The sequence below is a fragment of the Homo sapiens genome, chromosome 22 (genome assembly GCF_000001405.40).
Source record: "Homo sapiens chromosome 22, GRCh38.p14 Primary Assembly".
Classification (NCBI taxonomy): domain Eukaryota; kingdom Metazoa; phylum Chordata; class Mammalia; order Primates; family Hominidae; genus Homo; species Homo sapiens.
This window is the reverse complement of record NC_000022.11, coordinates 47,345,571-47,373,541: the sequence shown is the minus strand read 5'-3', so window position 1 is coordinate 47,373,541 and position 27,971 is coordinate 47,345,571. Positions and strand designations below refer to the sequence as shown.

At 46.9% G+C, this 27,971-nt stretch overlaps 1 long non-coding RNA gene across 1 annotated transcript, besides 1 other annotated feature; it reads right to left on the bottom strand.

The window, feature by feature from the left end:
- On the bottom strand, window positions 1-27,971 carry LOC339685 (uncharacterized). Its single transcript, NR_144462.2, has 4 exons — window positions 27,818-27,971; window positions 9,833-9,950; window positions 6,727-6,774; window positions 1-4,042 (listed from the first exon to the last, which is right to left on the bottom strand). It is a non-coding gene; the product is annotated as an uncharacterized LOC339685 (long non-coding RNA).
- Window positions 2,597-3,796: an enhancer, noted in NCBI's record as "P300/CBP strongly-dependent group 1 enhancer chr22:47765496-47766695 (GRCh37/hg19 assembly coordinates)". NCBI's record gives its function as "activates an origin of replication core promoter dependent on BRD2, BRD4, P300/CBP, MED14 and CDK7 cofactors, with strong dependence on P300/CBP, by STARR-seq in HCT116 cells {active_cell/tissue: HCT116}" and the evidence as "EXISTENCE:reporter gene assay evidence [ECO:0000049][PMID:35650434]".

The window sequence follows — 27,971 nt, the reverse complement described above, 5'->3', positions numbered from 1 at the left end:
TTGGGACCTGGAGGGGACGTCTCTAATCAATGTGAGCCTGAGGTTTAAGTGGCTTGGACTTATTCACCCCAAATGGCAGCGATGTGTAAACTGAAATGTCACCAGTGGAACCAGAACTGGGGCTCATTAGCACCCAACTGGTAGCAGTGATTAGGAAAATCATTTCCCCGCATGCTGCAACACTCCACAATGAGGCTGGCACCCCTGCTGCTGGGGGTCAGACCATGGACTTGGTGGCTGTCACATCACTGTCCCCTCCATACCGAGGTCTCCTCTCTACTCGAGGGCACATGCTCAGCCGTGGGTGCCGGGTGCTGCGTGCTGGTGGTCTGAGTCCTGGCTGAGAGGCATCTCCTGCTCTTTTTTATCTGGGGGGTGGTCAGTGGGCCGGGCTCACACAGGCCAGCTCACGGTGACACTTGCACTCAGCTTTGTCCTGGACGTGGGGACGCCGGCGCTGTGGTGCCTGCCCAGCACATCCTGAGATGACGCCACTGCTCCTCTTTGGCCCTGCTGAACTGTATTCCATGCTGGCTGTCTTTTTCCTGCATGTATGTTAAAGAGATTGAAAAGTGAAGATACCAGTGGGGTGATGTAAGTGGCAAGATTGATCGGGGCTGGGCTTCATGATTCTGGGGAGAGGGATAAAGGAGGTGTTCAAGGGAAATGGACCGATCCCTGCAAATGACTGCAGAGACCGTTTCGGTGGAGATGGAGTCGCAAAGCAGGCAGGTGTCTTTCGACAACAGAACGTGAGGCCGGTGGGGTCTGGGTGGCGAGGATGGCCTTTCCTGTCACAGCCCCACTGCTGCCTGCCTTGGCCACCTGGCAAAATTTAGATCTATTTCAGAAAGTCTGGGCACAGTCCCATCCTTCTCTGGTACTTTGCGGCCGCAGCAGTTATTTATTTGCTCAATCAATCGACGTGCGTTCAGCATCCATGATGCATCTGGAGGTTATGGTTACGTGCCTTCTGCCCCATGATGCCAGGTCTCAGGAGAGTCCTTGAGGCTCAGCCTGGCAGCAGGTGAGGAACTGGGGGGACTTCGGGTCAAGGCGACAGCAGTGAGGGCGGCTGGCTGTGTCAGGGAACACACCCACCCACAGGTGACATTCACGGCCCGGCTCCACTGAGCTCGGCAAGGATTTGTGCTCCCACAGAAGCTTTCCACTTGCAGCCCCCACGTCCTCCTCACGGCTTCCCAGGTGCTCCACAGGCCCATGAGCCCTGGCTCTGTCCCCCGTCCCCCGAGAGCTCCACCTCCTGGACTGCTGGGCCTTTTCTGGGGACACCGGGAGGATGTCTCAGTAAACCCTGAGGGTGTGTGGGATTGTGTGTGCAGCCACAAGGCCTGGCACGCAGCTCACAGCAGGGCCCCGTCAATGGCAGTTGCCTCTTCTGGCACCAGGGTCTCCAGTGTGCGAGGCCACCCACATGCCTGTTTGGGGCTCCACACACTAATCTACAGTTTCATTCCCGCTTGCTGGGACCCCCAGTCATATCTTTGCCAGCTCAGCTTCTCATTCACCTAGAAATGCCCTTTCTGCTTTGTCCTCCCTGCCGGGTGCCTGCCCATTATCTAAGATCTGGGCCAGGGCCAGGGCCAAGCCCCGCATCCCCTGGCCCCTTTCTCCCCTCCCTGTGCCACGTGATGTTTGACGTTCCAGCACGCATGCACTTTCTCCTGTCCCCCCCGACTGTGGGGAGGGCGTGTCCTGGCCTCTGGGGGCTCCTGGGAGCATGAGTTCAGCTTGAGTGTGTAGCTTTCTGGTTGAACACAGATCTTGAACCTATCAGGTGCTCTCTATGCAATGTGATAAACCAAGTGTTTGGAGGAAGGCTTGATTCCTACCGGTGGGGTGGACACTTTGGGGCTCAGAACTCCTGTAGGCCTGCAGCAAGCTGACTGCAGTGACCAGACCCTACCCCGCGGAGGGACCTGCTTTGAGGTTCCATTACAGCTGTAGATTTCTGTGGACCAGGCTTCCTCAGAAGCCAGAGTCCTGGGAGGGTGCAGTGCTGGGGCCAGCTAGTACCGCTCCAGAGAGCCTGTTGTTAAATATCCTGGAATCCTGCAACAGTTGATGTGACATTTGTAGCTGGGAATCAGCCATGGTGGGAGCAATTGCACCAGGGCTATTGGTGATGACTGCACGACCATCCACCCCTCACCACAGGAGCTGGTTGTTAGCCATGTCTCAGCACACTGCGGCCTGGCCCACGGCTGGCTCCCTGTGTTCTCTCCCAGACTCTAGAGATCCTCTTTCCTAATAGTCTTCAGCGAGTCATTTTCTCAGCACTTGGTGTCCTAAGAAGCTTGCCCCCTGTGGCCACACCTCCATTCACGCTGGCCCTAGCCAGTGGACAGAGGGTGGAAGGCACAGTCATCTTGCTCTGTGGTGGCCCTGTGAGGGACAGTGGGTGAGTGGGTGGAGGCGGCCTTGTCATCCTATGAAAGGCAGGCACAAGGTTTAGCCCCACAGCGAGTTCTGAGCCCCTGTTGTGACTTCCCAGAGAGTCGGCTCCTGAGTGTCTGGGGAGCTCCAGGGCAGATGCCCCTCGGCTGAACACACCCTTCTGTTTCCAGGCACCATGTTGTTTGGTGGTTTCCATAGCCTGGTTTGAATCTGCTCGTCCACTGAACCCAGACACAGTTGACACTAGCTCTGGAGGCAGACTACCTGGCACCTGCCCCCACAGCAGCCACACCTGACACTGCTCGTGGGTGCAGCCTGACACAGGTGTCTTTGAATCACAGGTGTGGCTTTTGTGGTTAGAGTCCACCTCTCTCTAGGTGGCAAAACAACCTGGGCAGCGACCTGTGTCTGCTTTGCTCTTCATTAGATCATCAGATGTGAGCCCAGCAACCGGCACCTGGAGGTCTTCTAACGTGCTGTGTGCATCACCTCCGCTGTGACGGTTGTGTGAGTGCAGTCACTCCATGCTGTGTGCGTCACCTCTGCTGTGATGGTTGTGAGTATGGTTACTCCATGCTGTGTCATCTCCGCTGTGACGGTTGTGTGAGTGTCATCACTCCATGCGGTGTGTGTCACCTCCGCTGTGATGGTTGTGTATGGTCACTCCATGCTGTGTCATCTCCGCTGTGACGATTGTGAGAGTGTCACCTCCACTGCAATGGTTCCTGTATTCTTGCAATGATCATCTTGGCTCAGGTCACCTCAGATCTGGCATTTTTCCATTATGACTAGTTTATATTCTTACCCTGAGGTTTGGCAAAAATATTGAATCAATTGTTCTTAATTATGACCATCTTGTACACTTTGCATTGCAGGAACAGTTCAATAATGCTTTATAGTCCAAAGAGCCCTAGGAGCACTGCTCAATATCCCAGAGTGGAAGACTAGAGTTTTCCTTTTGTTCAACTCATAAACTATTCTTAAAAGTGCCATATTTTCTTGATTCCATTGTTGTTCTCCCTGTTTATGGCTCTGTTCATTGTCCTGTGTCTATGAAATGAAGCCATAATAAATGCTAATCATGTGTTTAGTGCATTACCCACAGTCCTGGCTGCATGAAGGTGGCGGGCTGTGGGGTTGGGGTGGAGAGGCCCTGGACAGAAGGCAGCAGTTGAGGTGAGCTCCCTCCTTGCCTGGCTGTGTGTCCCTGGGGACCTGGGGATCCTCTCTGAACTCTGGCTTCTGTCCACGAAGGGAAGGGTGGACAGGGAGAAGGAGGGTAGTGAGCAAACACCCAATAAGTAGGCTTGGACCAGCCCTTCAGTCAGGGTGTGGGTTGGTGTTCTCAGTGAGACACGTGTGAATGGAAGCCAGCTCTGACTCCTCCCAGCTGGGCAGGCACGGGCAGGCCAGTCAATTTCTCTGAATTTGGGTTTCACCCTTTGTACAGTGGGCAAAATTAACTCTGTTCTGGGCTGTTGATGGATGAGATGAAAGGACCTGAGTTCGTGTCTTGCACAATGTGGACCTCCTGGGAGGCCTCTGCCGCTGGGGCCCTGGTTCTGCTGAACAGAATCAAGAAGCTCCAGGAATTGCCTGCCTCTGTTAGATGTGCTCTGTTTCCCTAAAAAACAAACCAGGAACTTGCTTTGACCTCAACTCTGGGCACACAATTCATGGGGCCTGCTGCAGAGATAAGGCTGCTGCCATGGCAGATGGGGCAGAAGCCCCAATTCTCCCACTGCTTTAGAGGTGATGGTAGGGGTTGGGGCAGCCTTCCCCCGTGTCTCTCATCTCTCCCTCTGCAGGGACTGGAGTGCCGTCAACCCTCCTGTCCCCCATAGGCAGCTGACTCCCGTAGCCCTGCAGACCCCAGCAGGGGAACCCACAGCCCAGGTTGGGGACTCCACTCCGTGTCTGTGTAGCCTCGGCTGGAGGACAGGCCCAAGGACGGCAGATCTGCCTGGAAGTGCTCTTTCCAACAGCCTTGGCAGCTCCCAGAGATGCGCCAGCCAGGCCCTCATTTCAGGGAAGAAAAATGCCCCTGCAGCTTATAAAAAGGCCCAGCAGACCCCTTCCAGGAGAGCCAGGCCGTTCAAAGGGAAGAAAGATGCTTCCTGAGGGCACCGGGTGTGCTGACTAGTTTAAAAACTCACCACTGCAGATATATGCTTGCAATAAGCACAGATACTGGGCACAGGGCAAAGAAAATCATCCATTTCATTTCAGCTGCAGGAGCAGGCCGGCGGGGAGCAGCGGCTTTATTTATTTACTTCATCGGGAAAAGAGGCCGTGCAGTGAAATGGTAAATTCATGGCCTGAGAGCGCCTTCCCCGGCCGTGGGCACAGATGCCATGCAGTGTTCTTTGTGGGCAGTACATGAGAGGGGTGCCACTCTCACCACCTCCCTTGTTGGGAGATGGGCAGGGGTCTCAAAGGGCATGGGCAGCCTGGGAAGTTCTCAGAACTGGGGTACTGAGGACCTGTGGCGGGCATGGAGGGAAAGGGGCGAGGGCCACAGTGCAGGCCATCTGTGCCTGAGCCGCACGGGTCTTCCCAGTGGGAATCCAGAGGTCTCCCAGAGCTCCTCTGACAGGGCCAGCCCGGGGGTGGCTGCAGAAATGGTGGGTACCTGGGATGGACACATCCTGGAGTGGTCAGAAGCGCTCAGCTCAGCCTCAGAACACCTGTCTTTAGGGCCTGGCTCTGCCACGTACCAGCTGGGGTCTTTGGGATTGTTATTTGTCCTTTCTGAGCCTCCCTCTTCTGCTTGAACAAGAGAGTGGTAACATCTGTCACCAACCTCCCGAGTGAGGGTGAACCACAGAGGCTGTGGAAAGTTCCGTGATGCCCACAGTAGGGACCACTCCACGTGGCCAGCACCTGCCAAGCCAGGCTCTGTACAGGCTATGTCCTCCCAAACAAGGCTGCTGTGGGCAGTGACATCACTGCCAAGGGAAGTGGAGTCCAGGAATAAACAGGTGAGGCCTTGCAGGGTCGCTGACTGATGTGGTTTGGCTCTGACCCCACCCAAATCTCGAATTGTAGTTCGTCTAATCCCCACATGCCATGGGAGGGACCCAGTGGGAGGTAACTGAATCATGGGGGCAGTTAACCTCATGCTGTTCTCCTGAGAGTGAGTTCTCATGAGATCTGATGGCTTTATAAGGGGCTTTCCCCCCTTTTGCTCTGCACTTCTCTCAACTGCTGCCATGTGAAGAACATGTTTGCTTCTCCATCCACCATGATTGTAAGTTTCCTGAGGCCTCCCCAGCCCTGCAGAACTGCGAGTCAATTAAACTCACAGTTTAATTGAGAGAGAGAGAGACACTGCCATCCTTTCTCTACTGAACAGACCTCCCTCAGTGCTTCTTGCTTCCTGGGAGGATAGCATGAGTCTGGGCTAGGGATCAGTGGGGGCCCACCCTGCCACCAGTGAACCCCAGCCCAGACTCATGGTCTCCTCCCAGGATGGTGGTTGTGAGTGGCTTGGTCAGATTGGCATTTTAGAAAGTTTAAGCAGATTGTTCCTCTGCTAATGGGAGCAGGAAGGTGGGGAGGAGGGAGGCTAGGAGGTGGCAGTGGCCACGGGCTCATTCAGCAGTGTTTTAGGGCACCTGCTCTGGGTCACCCCCTTCACCAGGCACAGGGGTGGGTGGACAGCAGGGCAAATGTGGCCCCTGCCTGCCTGGAGTGTGTCACCCAGCAGGGGAGGAGGACAGAGAGCAGGTGCCAGACAAACTCGGTTGTCACTGCAGGGGAAGCCCAGTGGATGCCTGGGAGCGATAGTGGCTATCCCAGCATCCCGGGCCAAGAGTGAGTGCTGATGGCACTCCCATCCACCGACTCCACCTGCCCACAGGCAAGAGTACAGGGAAGGATGAAGGCTCTGGGCAGGTGGTCAGGGAAGGTCGCCCAGTGGTGGGATTGAAGCTGCCCTGGGAGAAATGGAACCCATCAATCCTCCTACCATCAATGTAGCAGGTGCCCTCTGCTTTCTACAAATGTGAGTTCCCGCCCACCTAGGCTTCTGCCCAAGTGGGAAAAATGCAAATGGAAGTTGTTCTCCAGGCAAGGAGATGCGTGCACTGGGACACAGATATTAGCAAAACACAGGATCTGCGTCTCCTCCTGCAGCAGTGCTGGCCTTGCCATTGGAAAAAAAAGACTTAGAAAGATAATTTGAATTTATAAATCCAATTCCAATGGGGTTATTGATGTGCAAAGAAAAGGATACATATAAACGCGTGGCAAGGTGCACACTCGATTAGCTCCCTGATTATTTATTTATCCCTAAGAAGTGCTTACCGGAGGATGACAAACATTTGTTTTATAGATGGAGCCCAGAGGACTGACCTGCCGAGAGAAATCGGATTATTAGTGCTCTGACAATTGAGTTTACACAAACTTTTACTTCCAGTTATTAAGAAATGTAGAGAATTTATATTCATGAGGCGCCTAAGTGCTCCAGGAGCCACCTGCTCCGTCCTCTGGCCCAGCCTGCCTACTCCACGTGGGCCCGTCTGGTTGCTGCCATGCTGGGACTGGGCAGGGGCAGCTAAGCCCACCCTCGAGGGGTGCGTCTTCACCTCCATGGTGCACTGCCTCGTGTAGGTCACCATGGCAGCCTGTCCCCCTGGGACTCCCCCAACCCCATGAGCACTGCTCTGTTGAAGATCTGCTGCCTGCTAGGGCGGCAGTCCCCCACACTCTGAGCAAGACAGCCAAGAACAAGGTAAAATCTCTGTCCTCCCCAGCATAGAAATGGCTGCCCCACTACAGGGCGGGCACCCACGACAACCAGCCAAGTCCAAGGGCACAGAGGAGACAGGTGGAGTGCATCTGTCTGCAAACCTCCATTCTACCCACTCCACCCAGACGTCCACCCCACCGCCTTCCCCACACCCCAGTTGCTTTTTACTCCTGACTCAGTCTTTCATCCCTGCCAGCCTGCCTGTGTGTTTCCCTCCTGTCACTCACAGACCAAAATGAGGAACACCTTTCAGGGCTCACCGGTAAACTGGACACAGCTGAGGAAAGAATCACTGCGTTCACAGACATGTGAATGATACGAAGAGGAAAAAAAGGGTGAAAAGATGAACAGAACATCCAAAAAGTGTGGGACAATTCCAAAAGTTGTAACACATGTAATGAAAATACCAGAAGGATAAGAAGGAAAGAAAAGCCAAAGAAATATTGGAAACAATAATGGCTGAGGGTTTTCCAAAATTATTAACAGACACCAAACAAACATATTCAGGAAGTTCAGAAAATGCCAAGCAGGATAAATGTTGACAAACATTGATATAAATATAATTTATATGATCTATCTCAAAAATACTCTGGTATAAATATCAAAAATATCTATACCTGAACATATGATATTCAAACTACCAAAAAAGAAAAACCAAGACAGGAGAAAATTTGTGAAAGAAAGCAGAGTAAATATACCTACCCTGTAGAAGAACATGAATAATAATTACCTTGGAGTTCTCACCAGAAACCATGCAAGCAGAGAATGAAATATTTAAAGCATTGAAAGAATAAAACATTAACCTATAATTCTGTATACAGTGAAGTTGTTCTTCAGAAATAAAGGCTTTCTCAGACAAACAGAAACTGAGGGAATTTGTTGCCAATAGACCCATCTTGCAAGAAATATTAAAGAAGTTCTTCACCAAGGAGAATTATATAGGCCATATATTTGGATCATATAAAGAAAGAAAGAGCTTCAGAGAAGGAATAAATGAAAGTAAAATAAAATCTGTATTTTTCTTAATCTTACCTAGGCTAAAAAAATAACTGTTTGAAATAATAATAGCAAAAATATATGGGATAATTATAGCATATGGATAATTTAAGTGAATGACAGCAATTTTATAAGGGATGGGAGGAAGTAATTCAAAAGATTCTGTTAAAATGTACCTGAACTACCCATGAAGTAGTCTAGTGTTATTGAAAGTAGACATAGATTAGTTGCAAATGAGTATTGCAAACTCACAGGCAACCACCTCAAAAATTTCAAACAGAAGTATAATTGCTATACGAAAGAAACAAAATTGAGTGATATAAAATGCTAAATTAAAACCAGAGAATGTAGAAAAAAGGAAAAAAAAAAGCAAAGTACAAGTGAAAATAGAAAACAGTTTAAAAAAATGGTAGATATTCATCCAACTATATCACTAATCACTTCAAAAATGGTCTCAATATACCAATTAAAAGACAGACTTTCAGAGCGTAAAAAACCCCACTGATACGTTATCTACAAGAAGTGCACTTTAAATATAAAGACATTGATAGATTACAAATAAATGGGTGGAGAAGGATATCCCATTCTAACACTGATATGGTTTGGATCTGTGTCCCTACCCAAATCTCATGTCATATTGTAATCCCTAATGTTGGAGGTGGGGCCTGGTGGGAGGTGGTTGGATCATGGGGGCAGTTTCTCATGTTTTAACATCATCCCCCTTGGTGCTGTCATCACCATGGTGAGTTCTCGTGAAGTCTGGTTGTTTAAAGGCGTGTAGCATCTACCCCATCTCTCTCTTCCTCCTTCTCTGACCATGTGAAGTGCTGGCTCCCTCTTCACCTTCTGCGAATTGTGATTGTAAGCTTCCTGAGGCCTCCCTAGAGGCTGATCAGATGCCTGCGTCATGCTTCCTGTACAGCCTGTGCAACCATGAGCCAATTAAACCTCTTTTCCTTATAAACTACCCAGTCTCAGGTATTTCTTTATAGCAATGCAAGAATGGACTAATACAAACACTAATCAAAAGAAAACTGGAGTAACTATATAATTTCAGACAAAGGCAACTTCAGAACATGGAAAATATCAGGGATAAATAGGGAGACTACATAATGATAAAGAGATCAATTTTCCAAGGAGACATAACAAGCCTTTACATGTATGCACCTAACAACAAAGCTTCAAATTATGTGAAGCAAAAACTGATAGAACTGCAAGGAGAAATGGATGAATCCACTACTAGAGTTGGAAAATCCAGTGCTCTTGTATCATTAATGGGACAGATCCAGCAGGCAGAAAATCAGTAAGAATACAGTCGAACTGAGCAGCATCATCAATCAACTGGATCTAATTGGCATTTATACAATATGTCAACCAACAACAGCCAAATTCACACTCTACTTATACTCACATGAAGTATTCACCAAGATGGACAACATATTGGGCCATAAAATACATCTCAAGAAACTTAAAAGAATAGAAATTGCCCAGGCACAGTGATTCACACCTGTAATTCCAGCACTTTCAGGGGCAAAGGCAGGCAGATCACTTGAGGTCAGGAGTTCAAGACCAGCCTGGGCAAAATGGTGAGACCCCCCCCCCCCCCGCAAACCCCATCTCTACTAAAACAAAATAGAAAAATTAGCCAGGCATGGTGGCACACAGCTGTAGTCCCAGCTACTCCAGATGCTGAGGTGGAAGGATTGTGTGAGCCCAGGAGGTGGAGGTTGCAGCGAGCTGAGATCACACCACTGCACTCCAGCCTGGGTGGTAGAGCAAGACCCTGTCTCGAAAAGAAAACGATAGGAATCTGAAAAATATAATCAAACTAGAAATCAATGTCTGAAAGCTGAAAAATCTCAAAATATTTGGAGATTAAGTAACTTAAATAAAACACCTCTATATAACACATGGGACATAGAAGAAGTCTCAAGAGAAATTTAAAACTATTTGAATTAAATGAAAATACAACTTATCAAACATTTATGGGATGCAACAAAAGCAGTGCTTAGAAGGAAATTTATAATACTGAATGTACATATTAGGAAGAAAAATCTAAAAATCAATCATCTAAGCTTCCACCTTAAGGACCTAGGGAGTGAAGAGCAATATAGACCTAGAGTAAGCAAAAGAAAAAAATAATAGAGAATATAACAATGAAATTGCTTAAAATTTTCAATAGATATAAAAAGTCAATGAAATCAAAAGTTGGTTATTTTAAAATATTATTACAACTAAAAAGCCTCTAGTCAGGCTAACAAAGTAAAAAAAAAAAAGAGGAGATACAAATTATTAATATCAATAATGAAAGAGAAGCCATCACTACTGATACCATGAATAATAGAATAATACGGGGATATTATGAACAACTCTGTGCTCCAAAATTTAATAACTTAGATGAAATGGAAAAATTCTTTGGGGGAAATAAAAAGTCTGGATCTATATCTATTAAATAAACTGAATCTATAATTAATAACCTTTGAAAAACAGAAGGCACTAGGCCCAGATGACTTCACTGGTGAAGTCTACCAAACAAAGCAAATATAATACCTGTTCTCTCCCATTTATTTCCAAAAGTAGAGCAGAAGAGTAATTTCCTAATTTGTTCTAGGGGTTATCATTACTAATACTAAAACCAGATAAAGAAATTACAAGAAAGGAAAACTATGAGCCAATATTTCTTATTAATGAAGATGCAAAGATCCTCAACAAAATATTAGCAAATTGAATTCAACAATCTATAAAAATAAATATACACCACAATAAAGTGGGATTTGTTCCAGGTATACATTCAGTTAATGAAATCTATCAAATTAGCAGGCTAAAGAAGACAAATTACAATGATCTTATCAATAAATACAGAAAAATAATTTGACAAAATTCAACACCTATTAGAAAAACTTTCAGAAAAGAGTAAAAAGAAATGTTTTCAACATGTTAAAGTTGAAAACATTTACAAAAATATTTGTACATATCTACAAAAAACCTACAGCTGACATATTAATGATGAGAAACCAGATGCTTTCCCCTTAAGATAAAAAAATAGGTAAGACTGTTCCCTCTCACAGGAGACAGTCAATATTGTGCTAGAAGTCCTAGCTTATGCAATAAGACAGGAAAAGGAAATGAAAAGTATACAAAATTTCTTCCTAGAAATAAAACCGTCTTTGTTTGCAGATGATATAATTTCTATGTAGAAAATTCCAAAGAATCAACAAAAATCTCCTGGAACTGAGTGATTATAGCAAGATTGGGCCAGGTGTGGTGGCTCACACCTATAATCCCAACACTTTGGGAGGCTGAGGGAGGCAGATCACTTGAGGTCAGGAGTTTGAGATTGGCCTGGCCAACATGGTGAAACCCCATCTCTATTAAAAGTACAAAAATTAGCCTGGTGTGGTGGGCGCCTATAATCCCAGCTACTCAGGAGGCTGAGGCATGAGAATCTCTTGAACCTGGGAAGTGGAGGTTGCAGTGAGCTGAGATTGCACCACTGCACTCCAGCCTGGGCGACAGACTGAGATTCTGTCTAAATAAATAAATAGATAAAGCAAGATTGCAGGCTACAAGGTTAATAAGTAAAAGTCTATTGCTTTCTTATATGCCAGCAATAGACAATTTTATTTAAAATTAGCACCAAAAAAGTAAACACTATAGATCTCACAATGTATGTACAGGATCTATATGAGATAAACAACAAAACTCAGATGAAAGAAATCAAAGAAAATATAATTAAATAGGGAAGTATTCCTTGTTCATGAATAAGAAGATTCAATGTTGTTAAGATGTCAGTTCTTCTCAATGTTATCTATAGGTTCAACACAATCTCAACTAAAATCCCAGCAAGTTATTTTAAGGATATGGACAAACCAATTATAAAGTTTCTATGCAACGGCGAAAGATGCAGAAGAAGTGATGCAATAATGAAGAGGAACAAAGTGGGAAGACTGACTTATAAAGCTACGGTAATCAAGACAGCATGGTACTGATGAAAGAATACACAAATAGACCAATGGAACAGAACAGTGATCCCAGAAGTAGACCCATACAAGCATAGTCAGCCATCTTTGACAAAGAAAATTCAATGGAGAAAGGATAGTCTTTTCAACAAATGGCTGGAACAAGTGGACACACATGCAAAAAAAAAAAAAAAGAAAACATATTCTAGACACAGGCCTTGCACCTTTCACAAAAATTACCTCAAAATGGATCATAGATCTAAATGTAAAATGCAGAACTATAAAACTCCTAGAAGTAACATAGGGGAAAATCTAGGTGACCTTGAATTTGCAAAGAGTTTTAGATACAACGTCAAAAGAATGACCCATAAAAATTGATGAGTTGGACTTCATTAAAATTGAAAATTTCTGCTCTGTGAAAGATACCGTTTAGAGAATCACAAGACAAGCCACAGATGTGAATAAAATACTTTCAAAAGACATATTTGGTAAAGGACTTGTATCCAAACTGTACAAAGAACTCTTAAAAATCAACAATAGACAAAATCTCAGTTTTTAAATGGGCAGAAGAACAGACACTTCACCAAAGAAGATATACAAATAGCACAGAAGCTTATGGAGATATACACAACACCATAAAACATCATCAAAATGATCATGAGATATCACTACGCACCTACCAGAATCATGAACATCCAAAACATCGATACTACCAAATGCTGGTGAAGACGTGGAACCACAAAAATTCTCATTCATTGCTGGCGGGAATGCAACTGTGGAAGACAGTGTGGCAGTTTCATAGAAAGCTAACCACACTCTTACCATATAATCTAACCATTGTGATCCTAGTATTTCCCCAATTGAGTTGAAAATTTATATCCACACAAAAGCTTATGCAAGAATGTTTATAGCAGCTTTATTTATAATCACCAAAAACTGGAAGTGACCAATTTTAGTAGGTTAATGTATAAAAAAAAAAAACTGTGGGACCTCCATACAATGGAATCTTACTTAGTAATAAAAATAAATGAGCTATCAAGCCGCAAAATGACATGAAAGAGACTTAAGTGCATATTGCTAAGTGAAGGAAGCCAGTCTGAAAAAGCAGTGTGTTGAGTGATTCCTACTATATACCATTCCATAAAAGGCAAAACCAGAAAACCAGAAAAATGATCAGTGGTTGCCAGGGGTTGGGGGAGAGGGTGAAAGGATAAATAGGGGGAGTGTGGGGGTATTTCAGGGTGGTGAAACTATTCTGCATGATTCTGAAACGGGAGATGCACAACATTATGCATTTGTCAAAACCCAGAGAATGTACAACACCAAGAGTGAACCTTAATGTAAACTATGGGCTTTAGCTAATGATAATGTATCAATATTAGTTCATCCATTATAACAGAGGTACCACACTAATGCAAGATGTTAATAAGAGAAGTGAGGAAAGGGATATATGGGAACTCTGTTTTCTGCTCAATTATTCTGTAAGTCTAAAACTGCTCTAAAAAATAAAGTCTATTAATAGAAAAGGAAGATACACGCAGAATACATATGAAGATGTGATCAAACTGGGAAGTATTCCACGGTCCTGCAAGGGAAGAGCCAACCTCGTGAAAATGCCATTGCTCCAAAGCCAATCTATGCTTTTATCAAAATTCCAGCCAAACCCCAACAGCATGCCTTGTGAAGCCTGATAAGCTCATCCTAAATCCATCTAGAAGAGCAAAGGCTCAGAAATGGCTAGGAAAATACTGAAGTAAAAACGAAGGGATGGAACTTATTCCACCTAAAGGCAGAAGCAGTTCAATGAGTGTGATACTAGCACAGAGACAGAAAAGTAAGCCGATGGAGCAGGACACAGAGCGCAGATACAGATCCACCCATCAACAAAAGCCTGTTATTCACAGAGTGGTATTAATTCCGCAAGAATCAGCTCCTTCCCGCCCATCCCTGAGAGTAAAGAAGGCTGAGCCCTCACAGGGTCAAAGGCCAGCTCTGAGCCTCTCAGTCTCCAGAGTGGATTAAGGTGATCCTGGACTCTTCGTGCACCTGGTTCCAGCTAGATACTAAATAAACCTTCCCCAGAGGAAGATAACAAGACCCTAGGCTTAAAGTTATTTCTGCAATTTCTCATATACAATTTCCAACATCCAATCCATATCAGCCAAGCACGCAGAGAGGCAGAACAAAAATGGACAGAGAACGAATAAATTATTCTCTGATTGCTGCTGGAATTAATATCCATGTACAAAAAACTAAAATAAAACTTGATCTCTGATGTTGTCCTGCAGAATACTGGGCTGGAGCTACAGCTAAAATGTTCTATGGCAGTAACAGGATGTTCTCTTAAGTTCAAATGCTGTACTCTCAGCTGAGCCTACTAGCCAGTCAGGTTGTAATGTGTGTGCTAAGCACAACTTCTCCAGGCTCCAGCTTCCTGGATGCTTTGGGGCCAGTGGTGATGGGAGCAGATTGCATTTTTCTGGGTCAGGGTAAGACCTACCATGTTGTCAAGTCCTTTGAAGGCTTCTTGTATCTCCCATCATGTCACATTGAAACTCCAGCATAAATACTTCATATGGTTGAAAAAAATCTGTAATAAGTCACATACCTGAATCTAATATGCTGTTATTGGTACAGCATTTTTCCTATACCACCATGCCTACCTGGCTGCATTCTCTACAGAATATGTAATAACAACCACAAATCTACAGTGTCCAGCCTCAATTCAATGGCTAACTCTGGACATGTGGAATGGGTCACCTATTACACTGGGGAGGGGCTGCACCCAGCACCCAGCACTCCCCTTACCCCATTCGACACACACTTGTATTGAATAAAAGGCGTATGTGGCGAAAATAAAATTACAGACTATTTAAAAGAAAACACAGGAGAATATCTTTCAGGCTTCAAAGCAGAGATTTCTTAACACACGCACGCACACATGCATGCATGCACACACATGCATCCACACATACACATGCATGCACATATGCACACACACGCACACAGGCATACACACAAGCAATAAAGGAAGAGAGTTTTGTTTATGAAAAAGATAGCAGAGAGGTAAACCACAGCATGGAGGGAAGATATTTTAAGCAACGTAACTGACTAAATATCAGTGTGTGAACTATTTAAATATATCTAAAGGCAAGCACAGAAGAGAAAACATAAGTGACCATTGTATCAGCCAGAGTCCTCTGGAGAAACAGAACCAAAGGGAAACAGGTATGATTTATTTTAAGAAAGTGGCTCATACAATTGAGGAGGCTGGTGAGTCTGAAATCCATTGGGCATGCCAGCAGGATGGAAACTCAGGCAGGAGTCGGTGCTGCCGTCTTAAAGCAACATTTCTTCTTTTCCAGGAAACCTCCATCTTGCTCATGTCTTCACCTGAGTGGGTGAGGCCCACCCACCCTAGTGTGGGTCATCTTCTTTACTTAAAGCCAACTGATTGTAGATGTTAACCACATCCACGAAACACCCTTGCAGCAACACCCAGGTTAGGATGTGATTACATAACTGGTGCTACAGCATAGCCCTGTAAAACTGGCCAGCACAGCCACCAAGCATGAAAACACATTCGCCATTACCAAGTCGGGGAAATGCACTCCGAATCCACCGTGACATAGCATCAGATGAGCAGAGGGTCAGTCTGGCCACACCGCCTGTTGTTGAAGGTATCCAGGGATCGGACTTTGCGTTCTTGGCCAGCGGCACAGAAAATGGGTCCGAGACCCTGGAGAGCTCCCAGGAGGGTGATGCTGTTGCTTATCACTTCAGCCTTTGAGCCAGATTGGCAGGGTTTTGCATATTGGCTCTGCCGCCTCTCAGCTGTGTGACCTCAGGCCAGGTGCTTAGCCTCCATGGGCCTCAACTGCCTCATCCATAAAATGGGGAGAATCACTGTCTATACATCTATACGTCATGGGACCGCTGGGAGGTTAATGAGCTGAGGCACGTCATACGTGTCAAGAGGACCCAGTGAGTGTGAGCTGGGATCATCCTGCAGTCTCTAGCAAAGAGGCACAGACCTGACAGGCAGCCATTCCATTTCCAGATGTTCCCATGGCTGAACTCCACTGCATACATTCACAGGGACAGGGGCGGCCACACGCATGGCAGGCATGGCCCACAGTGGTCCAGCATTTGGACAGCCTAAGCGGACCCCAGCACAGCACCTGGCCATAGGGCGGGCACATACATGTAAGCTCCAGGGGAGCAGAGCCCAGCCTGGACCAACAAGATGGCACCTGCCAGCCACACTATAGGCACTCAGCAAACATTTGCTGAATTAATCACCCCTACTTATGAAAGTCTATGGATCAAAATTTCATGGGCCCACAATAAATGCTTCCAGAGCACGGATGAATGGGCCTGCTCCTCTTACCTGAGTACTCTGCAGAGGAAGAACAAGAGATCCAGAGGGGAACCAACACTGAAGGTTACAGGGTGGTTCTCCTAAACCCCAGGCCAGGAACGGTGCACAACCTATCCTTTCCCTAAGTGTTTTCCCTGAACTGCAGCCCTGCTGGGTGCAATGAGGGCCAGGAATCCCCAAGAGAAGGCCAGAGGACCGTGGATGTCTGCAGCAGTGGACATTCCACAAGCCCACCACCCCCAGAGCCCGCCATGGGAAAGGCCCCTTCTCCCAGGGCCTAGCAGCATCTTAGCCCTCAGCTCAAGCTTAGGTTTGGAAGGGGGCTCAGAAACAAACACTGCCCCACCTTGGTGGTGTTTTATCCAAAGCAGCTCCACTCTTGTGCAGAAAGGGGTGGAGAAAAGGGGGCTTTGCTGAGGCAGGAGGGGGCAGATGGGATGGGTCGCTCCCAGGCCTGAGATTTGTGCTGCATGTTGAGCACAGACGGAGCAGGCAGTATCTCAGTGACAGGGCCACACACTGTGGAATGACAGTCAGTCAGAGGTGAGGGCTCGGAGCAGGGAGAATCTTAATGCTGGCAAGACTTATCAGCCTGTCACGCACCAAATGTACTTACAGTCAAACGACATCACTAGTGTTTGTGGAACAAATATTTATTTGTTGTGTGCTCTGGCTTTGGGGCCAATCCATCTCTGAGTGGCGCCATATGCAGGGACAAATGGCAGCCTCAGAAAGTGGCAGCTGGTGGGGCGGGGTCTGTCCCCTGCAGGTCCAGGAGCCATGGGGTTAGAGCAGCCAGGGAGTGACACTCCCATTTCCACTCTACTGCTCGCGGGTGGGGCAGCAATGCCCGCAAGGTGCTTTCGAGGTAGGAGCCTGAGGAAGGACACCTGGGCACAGGGCTTGGGTCCCAGCGCTGCTGGCCTCCGGCTCTGTGCCTTCGCAGGGGCAATGGACCTCTCTGAGTCTCCGAGTCCACAGCACTCAGGTGTACTCATGGCAGGGGCATCTGTCATGGCTTCAAATGAGAAAAAAAGTGAGCACAAGCCTGCAGGAGCATCATGGCCACCACATCAACACAGATGGATGCAGCAGATGGTTTAGGAAGCTCCAGAGTGGTGATGCTGGGGCCAGCCTGGGGCTGTGTCTGTCCTGATGATCTGAGGACCACAAGACAGTCTGGGTCTCACTGTATAAAGGGAAGTGACAGAGGTACAGAGGGCACAGGGAGGAAATGCTTGTTTCTGAGCACTTAGACTGTTTGAGGAACTCAGCCTGGGGCTTTACACACACCACTCCTTTCAATTCTCACAATAATCTACAGAGAACTCTTAACCCCATGCCATAGATGACAATGCTGAGACTCAGGAAAGGTGAAATACCTGTCCACGGCAAGCAGACAGGAACTAGTAGAGACTTGCAGCCAGGTCCACCTGTCCCCCCACCCCCCAGTGACATGCTCCTGCCATCACATCAGTGACTCCCAGGACAACGTGCATCAGGGAAGCTGATGGACACAGGCACTTGGCCTGACCCAGTGTCCCTGCGGCCCATCAGAGTGTCACACTGTCCTCGACCATCCCTGCCACACCTCAGAGCTGCCAAGAAGCCACTGCCTCCCTTCTCCCAAGAAGCCCACCCCCTCTCAGCCCCCACACTCCCTCTCCCCCTCCCCCAAATGCCATCTGTGGCTACTCTGCAGCCCCAGGCTCGACCTGCCTAATCCCAGAGTGACTGACTCAGGTGTTGGCCACCGAGGTCCCCGAGGAGGGCAGGCAGACCAGGGGGCCCGGCACAGCGACCGGCCCAGGTCCAGGAGTGCAGAGAACAGTGGGATTGTGAAGGGCAGGAGACCACAAGCTCCTCCTGGGAAGGGCCTGCTTATTTCCAATGGAATGTTGCCCCATGGAAATCCAGGCCAAGTGTGGCCAACTCATAATGTTTCCAAGAAAAAAAAACATAAATACAGAGTTCAGAGGATTTCTCTTAGGTTTTAGAAATTGCTTTGAGGTTTTTTTACAACACTTTGCAAGTCACACAAAGTCGTCTGTAGGGGAGCCGTCCGTGTAGCCTCCATGGTACACAGGTCAGTCGGCCAACAACATGGAGGGTGATGTGCAGAACTGAGTGGTGGCCATGCCTGAGCAAGCCGGACCTGAAGGTGCCATCTCTCTAAAGGATGTTTTGCCAGGGAAAGGTGCTCCAGGGAGGCAGGCAGATGCTGGCCGTGCCCAGGCCAGGGGGGCACAGGCAGGCCCTGACCCAGGTCCTTAAGCAGAGGGATGCCATTGGATCACTGCATCTATGCTGTGAGCACACACGGGCCTCGCAAGACGGGGGCTCAGTGACTGCTGGCCAGAGCGAACATCTCACCTGCCCTTTCCTTCTCCTGTATATTTTTTGAAAGTCTTTTCCCCAGGCTTCCCATCTACTTTCTAGCATCACATTCAGTTTCAAGGGCAAAGCTCATGTTTTCTAGAGAAGAATGCATGAGATGCCCTCCCGGCTTGGACAAAGAGAGGATGGAGCTTCGAGATAAAGCTGTTAATTACTGCAGCACTTCTGGGCCTTAGCTGGGGGGGCCTCAGAGCTGGCAAGAATCCTTTGGATAACAAGTTTACAGGAAATCAGCTCAGCTCCATCAGGGAGGCTCTGGGGGCCACTCCAGTCTGCCAGGGGAGATGTGATTCCTGAGACGCATTTGCTCCTTTCTCCCTCCTCAATATGCCTTGAAGTCTGTCTCACAATCAATCAGGCAATAAACAACGAGCAGAGGGAAGGCAGGAGGCAGCATCTCCTGGAAGTGCAGGTGCTACCGAGAGATGGGTCTGCAGTCACCTCCCCATCCTGAAACACCCTGTGTGCTCAGCATCTGAGGCCCAGACACCCTGCTAGGCACCAGGGACTCCGTAGAGGAAAAATGTCATCCCTTTGCCTCTTAACAGGCAGGGAGAAAACAACGGCTCAGGGAACTGTGGGGGCCATGGGGAAAACCCACCACTATCTGCCTGGGGTGGAAAGGAGGCGGGGACCCTGGGACCTGGATGGCATTGGAGGGAGGCTTAAGGCTGAGGGGAGATACCCACTCTATTAATTCATTCTCACACTGCTATTAAGATATTACCCAAGACTAGGTAATTTATCAATAAAAGAGGTTTAACGGACTCACAGTTCCACATGGCTGGGGAGGCCTCAGAAAACTTACAGTTATGGCAGAAGGTATAGGGGGGAAGCAAGGATCTTGACATGGTGGCAGGCCAAAAAGAGTAGGCAGGGGAAATGCCAGGCACTTATAAAACCATCAGATCTCGTGAGAACGCATTGTCACAAGCCCAGGATAGGGGAAACCACCCCCATGATCCAATCACCTCCCACCAGGTCTCTCCCTCAACGTCTGGGGATCATGATTCAAGATGAGATTTGGGTGGGGACACAAAGCCTAACCATATCACCCACCCAGCAGGGGAATCCACTGGTGGATGTGATGGGAGAACTTCTTGGCCAGGCCGGCTGTTCCGGTCAACACTGCAAATCCAGGACTCACACAATGCACTGAGGAGCTTCTGCTGCGGCAGGAAGGACACTGGCCGTGGAGCCCAGAGCCGTGGGCTTGGGTGTGATGTCCCGAGCTCATGCTGCCATGGTGTGGCCTCTGAGCCTGGCTCATCTCCAGAGAACCACATAAAGATGAGTTGATGGCAGATGGTCCTAGAGGTCCCTTCAGGGTCTCACATTCCTCATCTACCAACTCTTCTCTGCATCTGTGAAAGCCATGATCCCCACTGACCTGTGGCAGGTACAGTGAATACTCCACATCACAGATGGCGGAAGCACAAATGGTCCCTCCCACCCAAATGCCCATAGGCACTTGGTAACGACTCCTCTCGTCCCGAAAGCTGCTGATCTGCTTCTCGCCAGTGCTGCGTGTCTTGCTTCTGCAACAAGCCCAAGGCCGGCCCTCTTTCCCACACCCCACATGAAGCTGGGAGCCCACAGGCCCTCTGTTGACCTCCACACTTCCGGGCTTGACCCTCCGAGGCCCTGCAGAGTCAGAGAAGGGACAGAGGCATGGCTCTGTCACCGTCAGCATTTCAGAAGACGCACTTAAATAAAACAAATCCTTCTATTAGAAATAAACCTCAAAAACATCTTTAACAAATGGGTGTTAACGTCTCTCCAGGAGATGGGAAATGTGGATCTCTTAGCAAAGTTCCAGTGATAATTCAGGTGCATTCTCCTGCCTCGCCTGGCAACGATTCTCGGCAGATTCCCTCAGAATAATCGGCCCATTCCAGTTGTTAGGACGTGGTCTTTAAAGCTGAGTTATTCTTCAATATCTTGGAAAATAGGGGCTCTTCATCTCACCAATTATGAAATACTGCAGACATCGTTTGCCGTCGGAGAGAAAGATTTATCTCCAAAGATAATGGTGAGATAGGGCTGCTCGTGCTCCTGGGACCCTTTGCTGGAGTTTTTCATCATTTTGCAGGGAACACCGGGAGGGGATTTAACTGCTCTGCAGTGGGGGGAGGATGCTGCCCTGTCAGGGAAGGGAGTGACTGGAGGGGGCTTCACGAGTCCTCACGGGGGACAGGGTAAGGATTTACGGTCCGGCTGGGCCCTGGGGCCACTTGCCCCTCCCTCATTCACTCCCTCCACAGCCAGACCCCAGAGGCTGAGATGGGAGACCAGGCAACCAGAGAGACCAACCCTGAACAGGTAACTCCAGCCAGCATCAGCAGTGCTAGGTGGGGGCAGACGTGTTTCCACAGATGAGGCCAGGCAGGGATGAGAAGCGGACTTTGCAAAGGGGATGAGCAGAGGCTGGAGGATGCACCAGAGCCCATGAAGGAGGGGCTTTCCAGATAGAGGAAGAGGATGTCCTCCAGCCTGCAGCCTGAGGAAGGCATCCTCCAAGAGGCTATACACCAGGTGCCCAGAGAGGTCACCAGCTGGGTGGGGGTGTGGTGCATTGCCCATCCACTGGGCACAAAGGACCTGGCCCACCACAGTGGCACACACAGGCTCTATCCAGGGGACAGGGGGGTCTCGGGTGATTTCAAGACAGATGGTGACATGCCCAGGTTCTCCCTGACCAGTAGGAAGCTGGCCTGGAGGAGACAGGCTGGAGGCGGGGAGGTTGTCGTGGAGGCTGTGGTGGGTGCCAGAGGGGATGCCAGGCCCTGGAATGCGGGCAGAGGCAGCAGGAATGAGGGGAATCAGAGTCACATCCGAGGACTTGATAGGTGCAAAGCCCAGAGCTCAAAGGGATAAAATATTGTCCCCCAAAAAGTTCATGTCCAGTTGGAAACTTGGAATGTGGCTTTATGAGGGAATAGTGTGTTCCAGAGGTAATTAAGATAAGGATCAGAGAGGCGGTTCCAAAATGGCCAAATAGGAACAGCTCTAGTCTACAGCTCCCAGCGTGAGTGATGCAGAAGACGGATGATTTCTGCATTTCCAACTGAGGTACGAGTTTCATCTCACAGGGGATTGTTGGACAGTGGGTGCAGCGCACCGAGCATGAGCTGAAGCAGGGAGAGGCATTGCCTCACCTGGGAAGCGCAAGGGGTCAGGGAATTCCCTTTCCTAAGTCAAAGAAAGGGGTGACAGATGGCACCTGGAAAATCGGGTCACTCCCACCCTAATACTGCGCTTTTCCAATAGTCTTAGCAAACGGCACACCAGAAGATTATATCCTGCACCTGGCTCAGAGGGTCCTACGCCCACGGAGCCTCACTCACTGCTAGCACAGCAGTCTGAGATCAAACTGCAAGGCGGCAGCGAGGCTGGGGGAGGGGCACCCACCATTGCTGAGGCTTGAGCAGGTAAACAAAGCAGCTGGGAAGCTCAAACTGGGTGGAGCCCACCACAGCTCAAGGAGGCCTGCCTGCCTCTGTAGACTCCACCTCTGGGGGCAGGGCATAGTCAAACAAAAGGCAGCAGAAACCTCTGCAGACTTAAATGTCCCTGTCTGACTGATTGGAAGACAGTAGTGGTTCTCCCAGCACACAGCTTGAGATCTGAGAATGGACAGACTGCCTCCTCAAGTGGGTCCCTGACCCCCAAGTTAGCCTAACTGGGAGGCACCGCCCCCCAGTAGTGGCAGACTGACACCTTACATGGCCAGGTACCCTACTAAACTAAGACAAAACTTCCAGAGGAAGGATCAGGCAGCAACATTTGCTGTTCAGCAATATTCACTGTTCTGCAGCCTCCGCTGCTGATACCCAGGCAAAAGGGTCTGGAGTGGACCTCCGGCAAACTCCGACAGACCTGCAGCTGAGGGTCCTGACTGTTAGAAGGAAAACTAACAAACAGAAAGGACATCCACACCAAAATCCCATTTGTACGTCACCATCATCAAAGACCAAAGGTGGAAAAAACAGAGCAGAAAAACTCAAAATTCTAAAAATCAGAGCACCTTTCCTCCAAAGGAACACAGCTCCTCACCAGCAACAGAACAAAGCTGGACAGAGAATGACTTTGACGAGTTGAGAGAAGAAGGCTTCAGAAGATCAAACTACTCCGAGCTAAAGGAGGAAGTTCGAACCCATGGCAAAGAAGTTAAAAACCTTGAAAAAAGATTAGACGAATGGCTAATTAGAATAACCAATGTAGAAAAGTCCTTAAAGGACCTGATGGAGCTGAAAAACATGGCACGAGAACTACGTGATGAATGCGCTAGCTTCAGTAGCCAATTCAGCCAACTGCAAGAAAGGGTATCAGTGTTGGAAGATCAAATGAATGAAGTGAGAAGAGAAGTTTAGAGAAAAACAAATAAAAAGAAACAAACAAAGCCTCCAAGAAATATGGGACTATGTGAGAAGACCAAATCTACGTCTGATTGGTGTACCTGAAAGTGACGGGGAGAATGCAACCAAGGTGGAAAACACTCTGCAGGATATTATCCAGAACTTCCCCAATCTAGCAAGGCAGGCCAACATTCAAATTCAGGAAATACAGAGAACACCACAAAAAAACTCCTTGAGAAGAGCAACTCCAAGACACATAATTGTCAGATTCACCAAAGTTGAAATGAAGGAAAAAATGTTAAGGGCAGCGAGAGACAAAGGTTGGGTTCCCCACAAAGGGAAGCCCATCAGACTAACAGCTGATCTCTCAGCAGAAACTCTACAAGTCAGAAGAGAGTGGGGGCCAATACTCAACATTCTTAAAGAAAAGAATTTTCAACCCAGAATCTCATATCCAGTCAAACTAAGCTTCATAAGTGAAGGAGAAATAAAATACTTTACAGACAAGCAAATGCTGAGAGATTCTGTCACCACCAGGCCTGCCCTACAAGAGCTCCTGAAGGAAGCACTAAACATGGAAAGGAACAACCAGTACCAGCCACTGCAAAAACATGCCAAATTGTAAAGACCACCAAGACTAGGAAGAAACTGCATCAACTAACGAGCAAAATAACCAGCTAACATCATAATGACAAGATCAAATTCACACATAACAATATTAACCTTAAATGTAAATGGGCTAAATGCTCCAATTAAAAGACACAGACTGGCAAATTGGATAAAGAGTCAAGACCCATCAGTGTGCTGTATTCAGGAAACCCGTCTCACATGCAGAGACACACATAGGCTCAAAATAAAGGGATGGAGGAAGATCTACCAAGCAAATGGAAAACAAAAAAAGGCAGGGGTTGCAATCCTAGTCTCTGATAAAACAGAAAGTTAATGGATATCCAGGAATTGAACTCAGCTGTGCACCAAGCGGACCTAATAGACATCTACAGAACTCTCCACCCCAAATCAACAGAATATACATTCTTCTCAGCACCATACCGCACTTATTCCAAAATTGACCACATAGTTGGAAGTAAAGCACTCCTCAGCAAATGTAAAAGAACAGAAATTATAACAAACTGTCTCTCAGGCCACAGTGCAATCAAACTAGAACTCAGGATTAAGAAACTCACTCAAAACGGCTCAACTACATGGAAACTGAACAACCTGCTCCCGAATGACTACTGGGTACATAATGAAATAAAGGCAGAAATAAAGATGTTCTTTGAAAACAATGAGAACAAAGACACAACATACCAGAATCTCTGGGACACATTCAAAGCAGTGTGTAGAGGGAAATTTATAGCACTAAATGCCCACAAGAGAAAGCAGGAAAGGTCTAAAATTGACACCCTAACATCACAATTAAAAGAACTAGAGAAGCAAGAGCAAACACATTCAAAAGCTAGCAGAAAGCAAGAAATAACTAAGATCAGAGAAGAACTGAAGGAGATAGAGACACAAATATCCTTCAAAAAATCATGAATCCAGGAGCTGGTTTTTTGAAAAGATCAACAAAATTGATAGACCGCTAGCAAGAATAATAAAGAAGAAGAGAAGAATCAAAGACACAATAAAAAATGATAAAGGGGATATCACCACCGATCCCACAGAAATACAAACTACCATCAGAGAATACTATAAACACCTCTACGGAAATAAACTAGAAAATCTAGAAGAAATGGATAAATTCCTGGACACATACACCCTCCCAAGACTAAACCAGGAAGAAGTTGAATCCCTGAATAGACCAATAACAGGCTCTGAAATTGAGGCAATAATTAATAGCTTACCAACCAAAAAAAGTCCAGGACCAGACAGATTCACAGCCGAATTCTACCAGAGGTACAAGGAGGAGCTCGTACCAATCCTTCTGAAACTATTAGAATCAATAGAAAAAGAGGGAATCCTCCCTAACTCAGTTTATGAGGCCAGCATCATCCTGATACCAAAGCCTGGCAGAGACACAACAAAAAAAGAGAATTTTAGACCAATACCCCTGATGAACATCGATGCAAAAATCCTCAATAAAATACTGGCAAACTGAATCCAGCAACACATCAAAAAGCTTATCCACCATGATCAAGTGGGCTTCATCCCTGGGATGCAAGGCTGGTTCAACATACACAAATCAATAAACATAATCCAGCATATAAACAGAACCAATCACAAAAACCACATGATTATCTCAATAGATGCAGAAAAGGCCTTTGACAAAATTGAACAGCCCTTCATGCTAAAAACTCTCAATAAATTAGGTATTGATGGGACGTATCTCAAAATAATAAGAGCTATATATGACAAACCCACAGCCAATATCATACTGAATGGGCAAAAACTGGAAGCATTCCCTTTGAAAACTGGCACAAGACAGGGATGCCCTCTCTCACCACTCCTATTCAACATAGTGTTGAAAGTTCTGGCCAGGGCAATCAGGCAGGAGAAGGAAATAAAGGGTATTCAATTAGGAAGAGAGGAAGTTAAATTGTCCCTGTTTGCAGATGACATGACTGTATATCTAGAAAACCCCATCATCTCAGCCCAAAATCTCCTTAAGCTGATAAGCAACTTCAGCAAAGTCTCAGGATACAAAATCAATGTACAAAAATCACAAGCATTCTTATACACCAATAACAGACAAACAGAGAGCCAAATCATGAGTGAACTCCCATTCACAATTGCTTCAAAGAGAATAAAATACCTAGGAATCCAACTTACAAGGGATGTGAAGGACCTCTTCAAGGAGAACTACAAACCACTGCTCAACGAAATAAAGGAGGATACAAACAAATGGAAGAACATTCCATGCTCACAGGTAGGAAGAATCAATATCGTGAAAATGGCCATACTGCCCAAGGTAATTTATAGATTCAATACCATCCCCATCAAGCTACCAATGACTTTCTTCACAGAATTGGAAAAAAACTACTTTAAAGTTCATATAGAACCAAAAAAGAGCCCACATTGCCAAGTCAATCCTAAGCCAAAAGAACAAAGCTGGAGGCATCATGCTACCTGACTTCAAACTATACTACATAGCTACAGTAACCAAAACAGCATGGTACTGGTACCAAAACAGAGATATAGACCAATAGAACAGAACAGAGCCCTCAGAAATAATGCCACACATCTACAACTATCTGATCTTTGACAAACCTGACAAAAACAAGCAATGGGGAAAGGATTCCCTATTTAATAAATGGTGCTGGGAAAACTGGCTAGCCATATGCAGAAAGCTGAAACTGGATCCCTTCCTTACACCTTATACAAAAATTAATTCAAAATGGATTAAAGACTTAAATGTTAGACCTGAAACCATAAAAACCCTGGAAGAAAACCTAGGCAATACCACTCAGGACATAGGCATGGGCAAGAACTTCATGTCTAAAACACCAAAAGCAATGGCAACAGAAGCCAAAATTGACAAATGGGATCTAATTAAACTAAAGAGCTTCTGCACAGCAAAAGTAACTACCATCAGAGTGAACAGGCAACCTACAGAATGGGAGAAAATTTCTGCAATCTACTCATCTGACAAAGGGCTAATATCCAGAATCTACAAAGAACTCAAACAAATTTACAAGAAAAAAACAACCCCATCAACAAGTGGGTGAAGGATATGAACAGACACTTCTCAAAAGAAGACATTTATGCAGCCAAAAGACACATGAAAAAATGCTCATCATCACTGGCCATCAGAGAAATGCAAATCAAAACCACAATGAGATCACCATCTCACACCAGTTAGAATGGCGATCATTAAAAAGTCAGGAAACAACAGGTGCTGGAGAGGATGTGGAGAAATAGGAACACTTTTACACTATTGGTGGGACTGTAAACTAGTTCAACCATTGTAGAAGTCAGTGTGGTGATTCCTCAGGGATCTAGAACTAGAAATACCATTTGACCCAGCCATCCCATTACTGGGTATATACCCAAAGGATTATAAATCATGCTGCTATAAAGACATATGCACACGTATGTTTACTGCTGCGGCACTATTCACAATAGCAAAGACTTGGAACCAACCCAAATGTCCAACAATGATAGACTGGATCAAGAAAATGTGGCACATATACACCATGGAATACTATGCAGCCATAAAAAAGGATGAGTTCATGTCCTTTGTAGGGACATGGATGAAGCTGGAAACCATCATTCTCAGCAAACTATCACAAGGACAACAAAACAAACACCACATGTTCTCACTCATAGGTGGGAACTGAACAATGAGAACACTTGGACACAGGAAGGGGAACATCACACACCGAGGCCTGTTGTGAGGTGGGGGAAGGGGGGAGGGATAGCATTAGGAGATATACCTAATGTAAATGACGAGTTAATGGGTGCAGCACACCAACATGGCACATGTATACCTATGTAACAAACCTGCACGCTGTGCACATGTACCCTAAAACTTAAAGTATAATAGAAAAAAAAAAAGATAAGGATCACAGATGAAACCCTTGTGGGTCAGGGGTGGGCCCTAAATCCAATGACTGACCTTTTATCAATGGAAGAGAGAGTCGAGGAGAAGGCTGTGTGCACAGAAGGCAGAGGATGGCATGGTGCCGTCACCAGCCAAGGAACCCCTGGAGCCCCTGGGAGCTGGAAGAGGCAGGAAGGATCCTCCCTGGTGCTTCTGAGGGAGCAGCCCT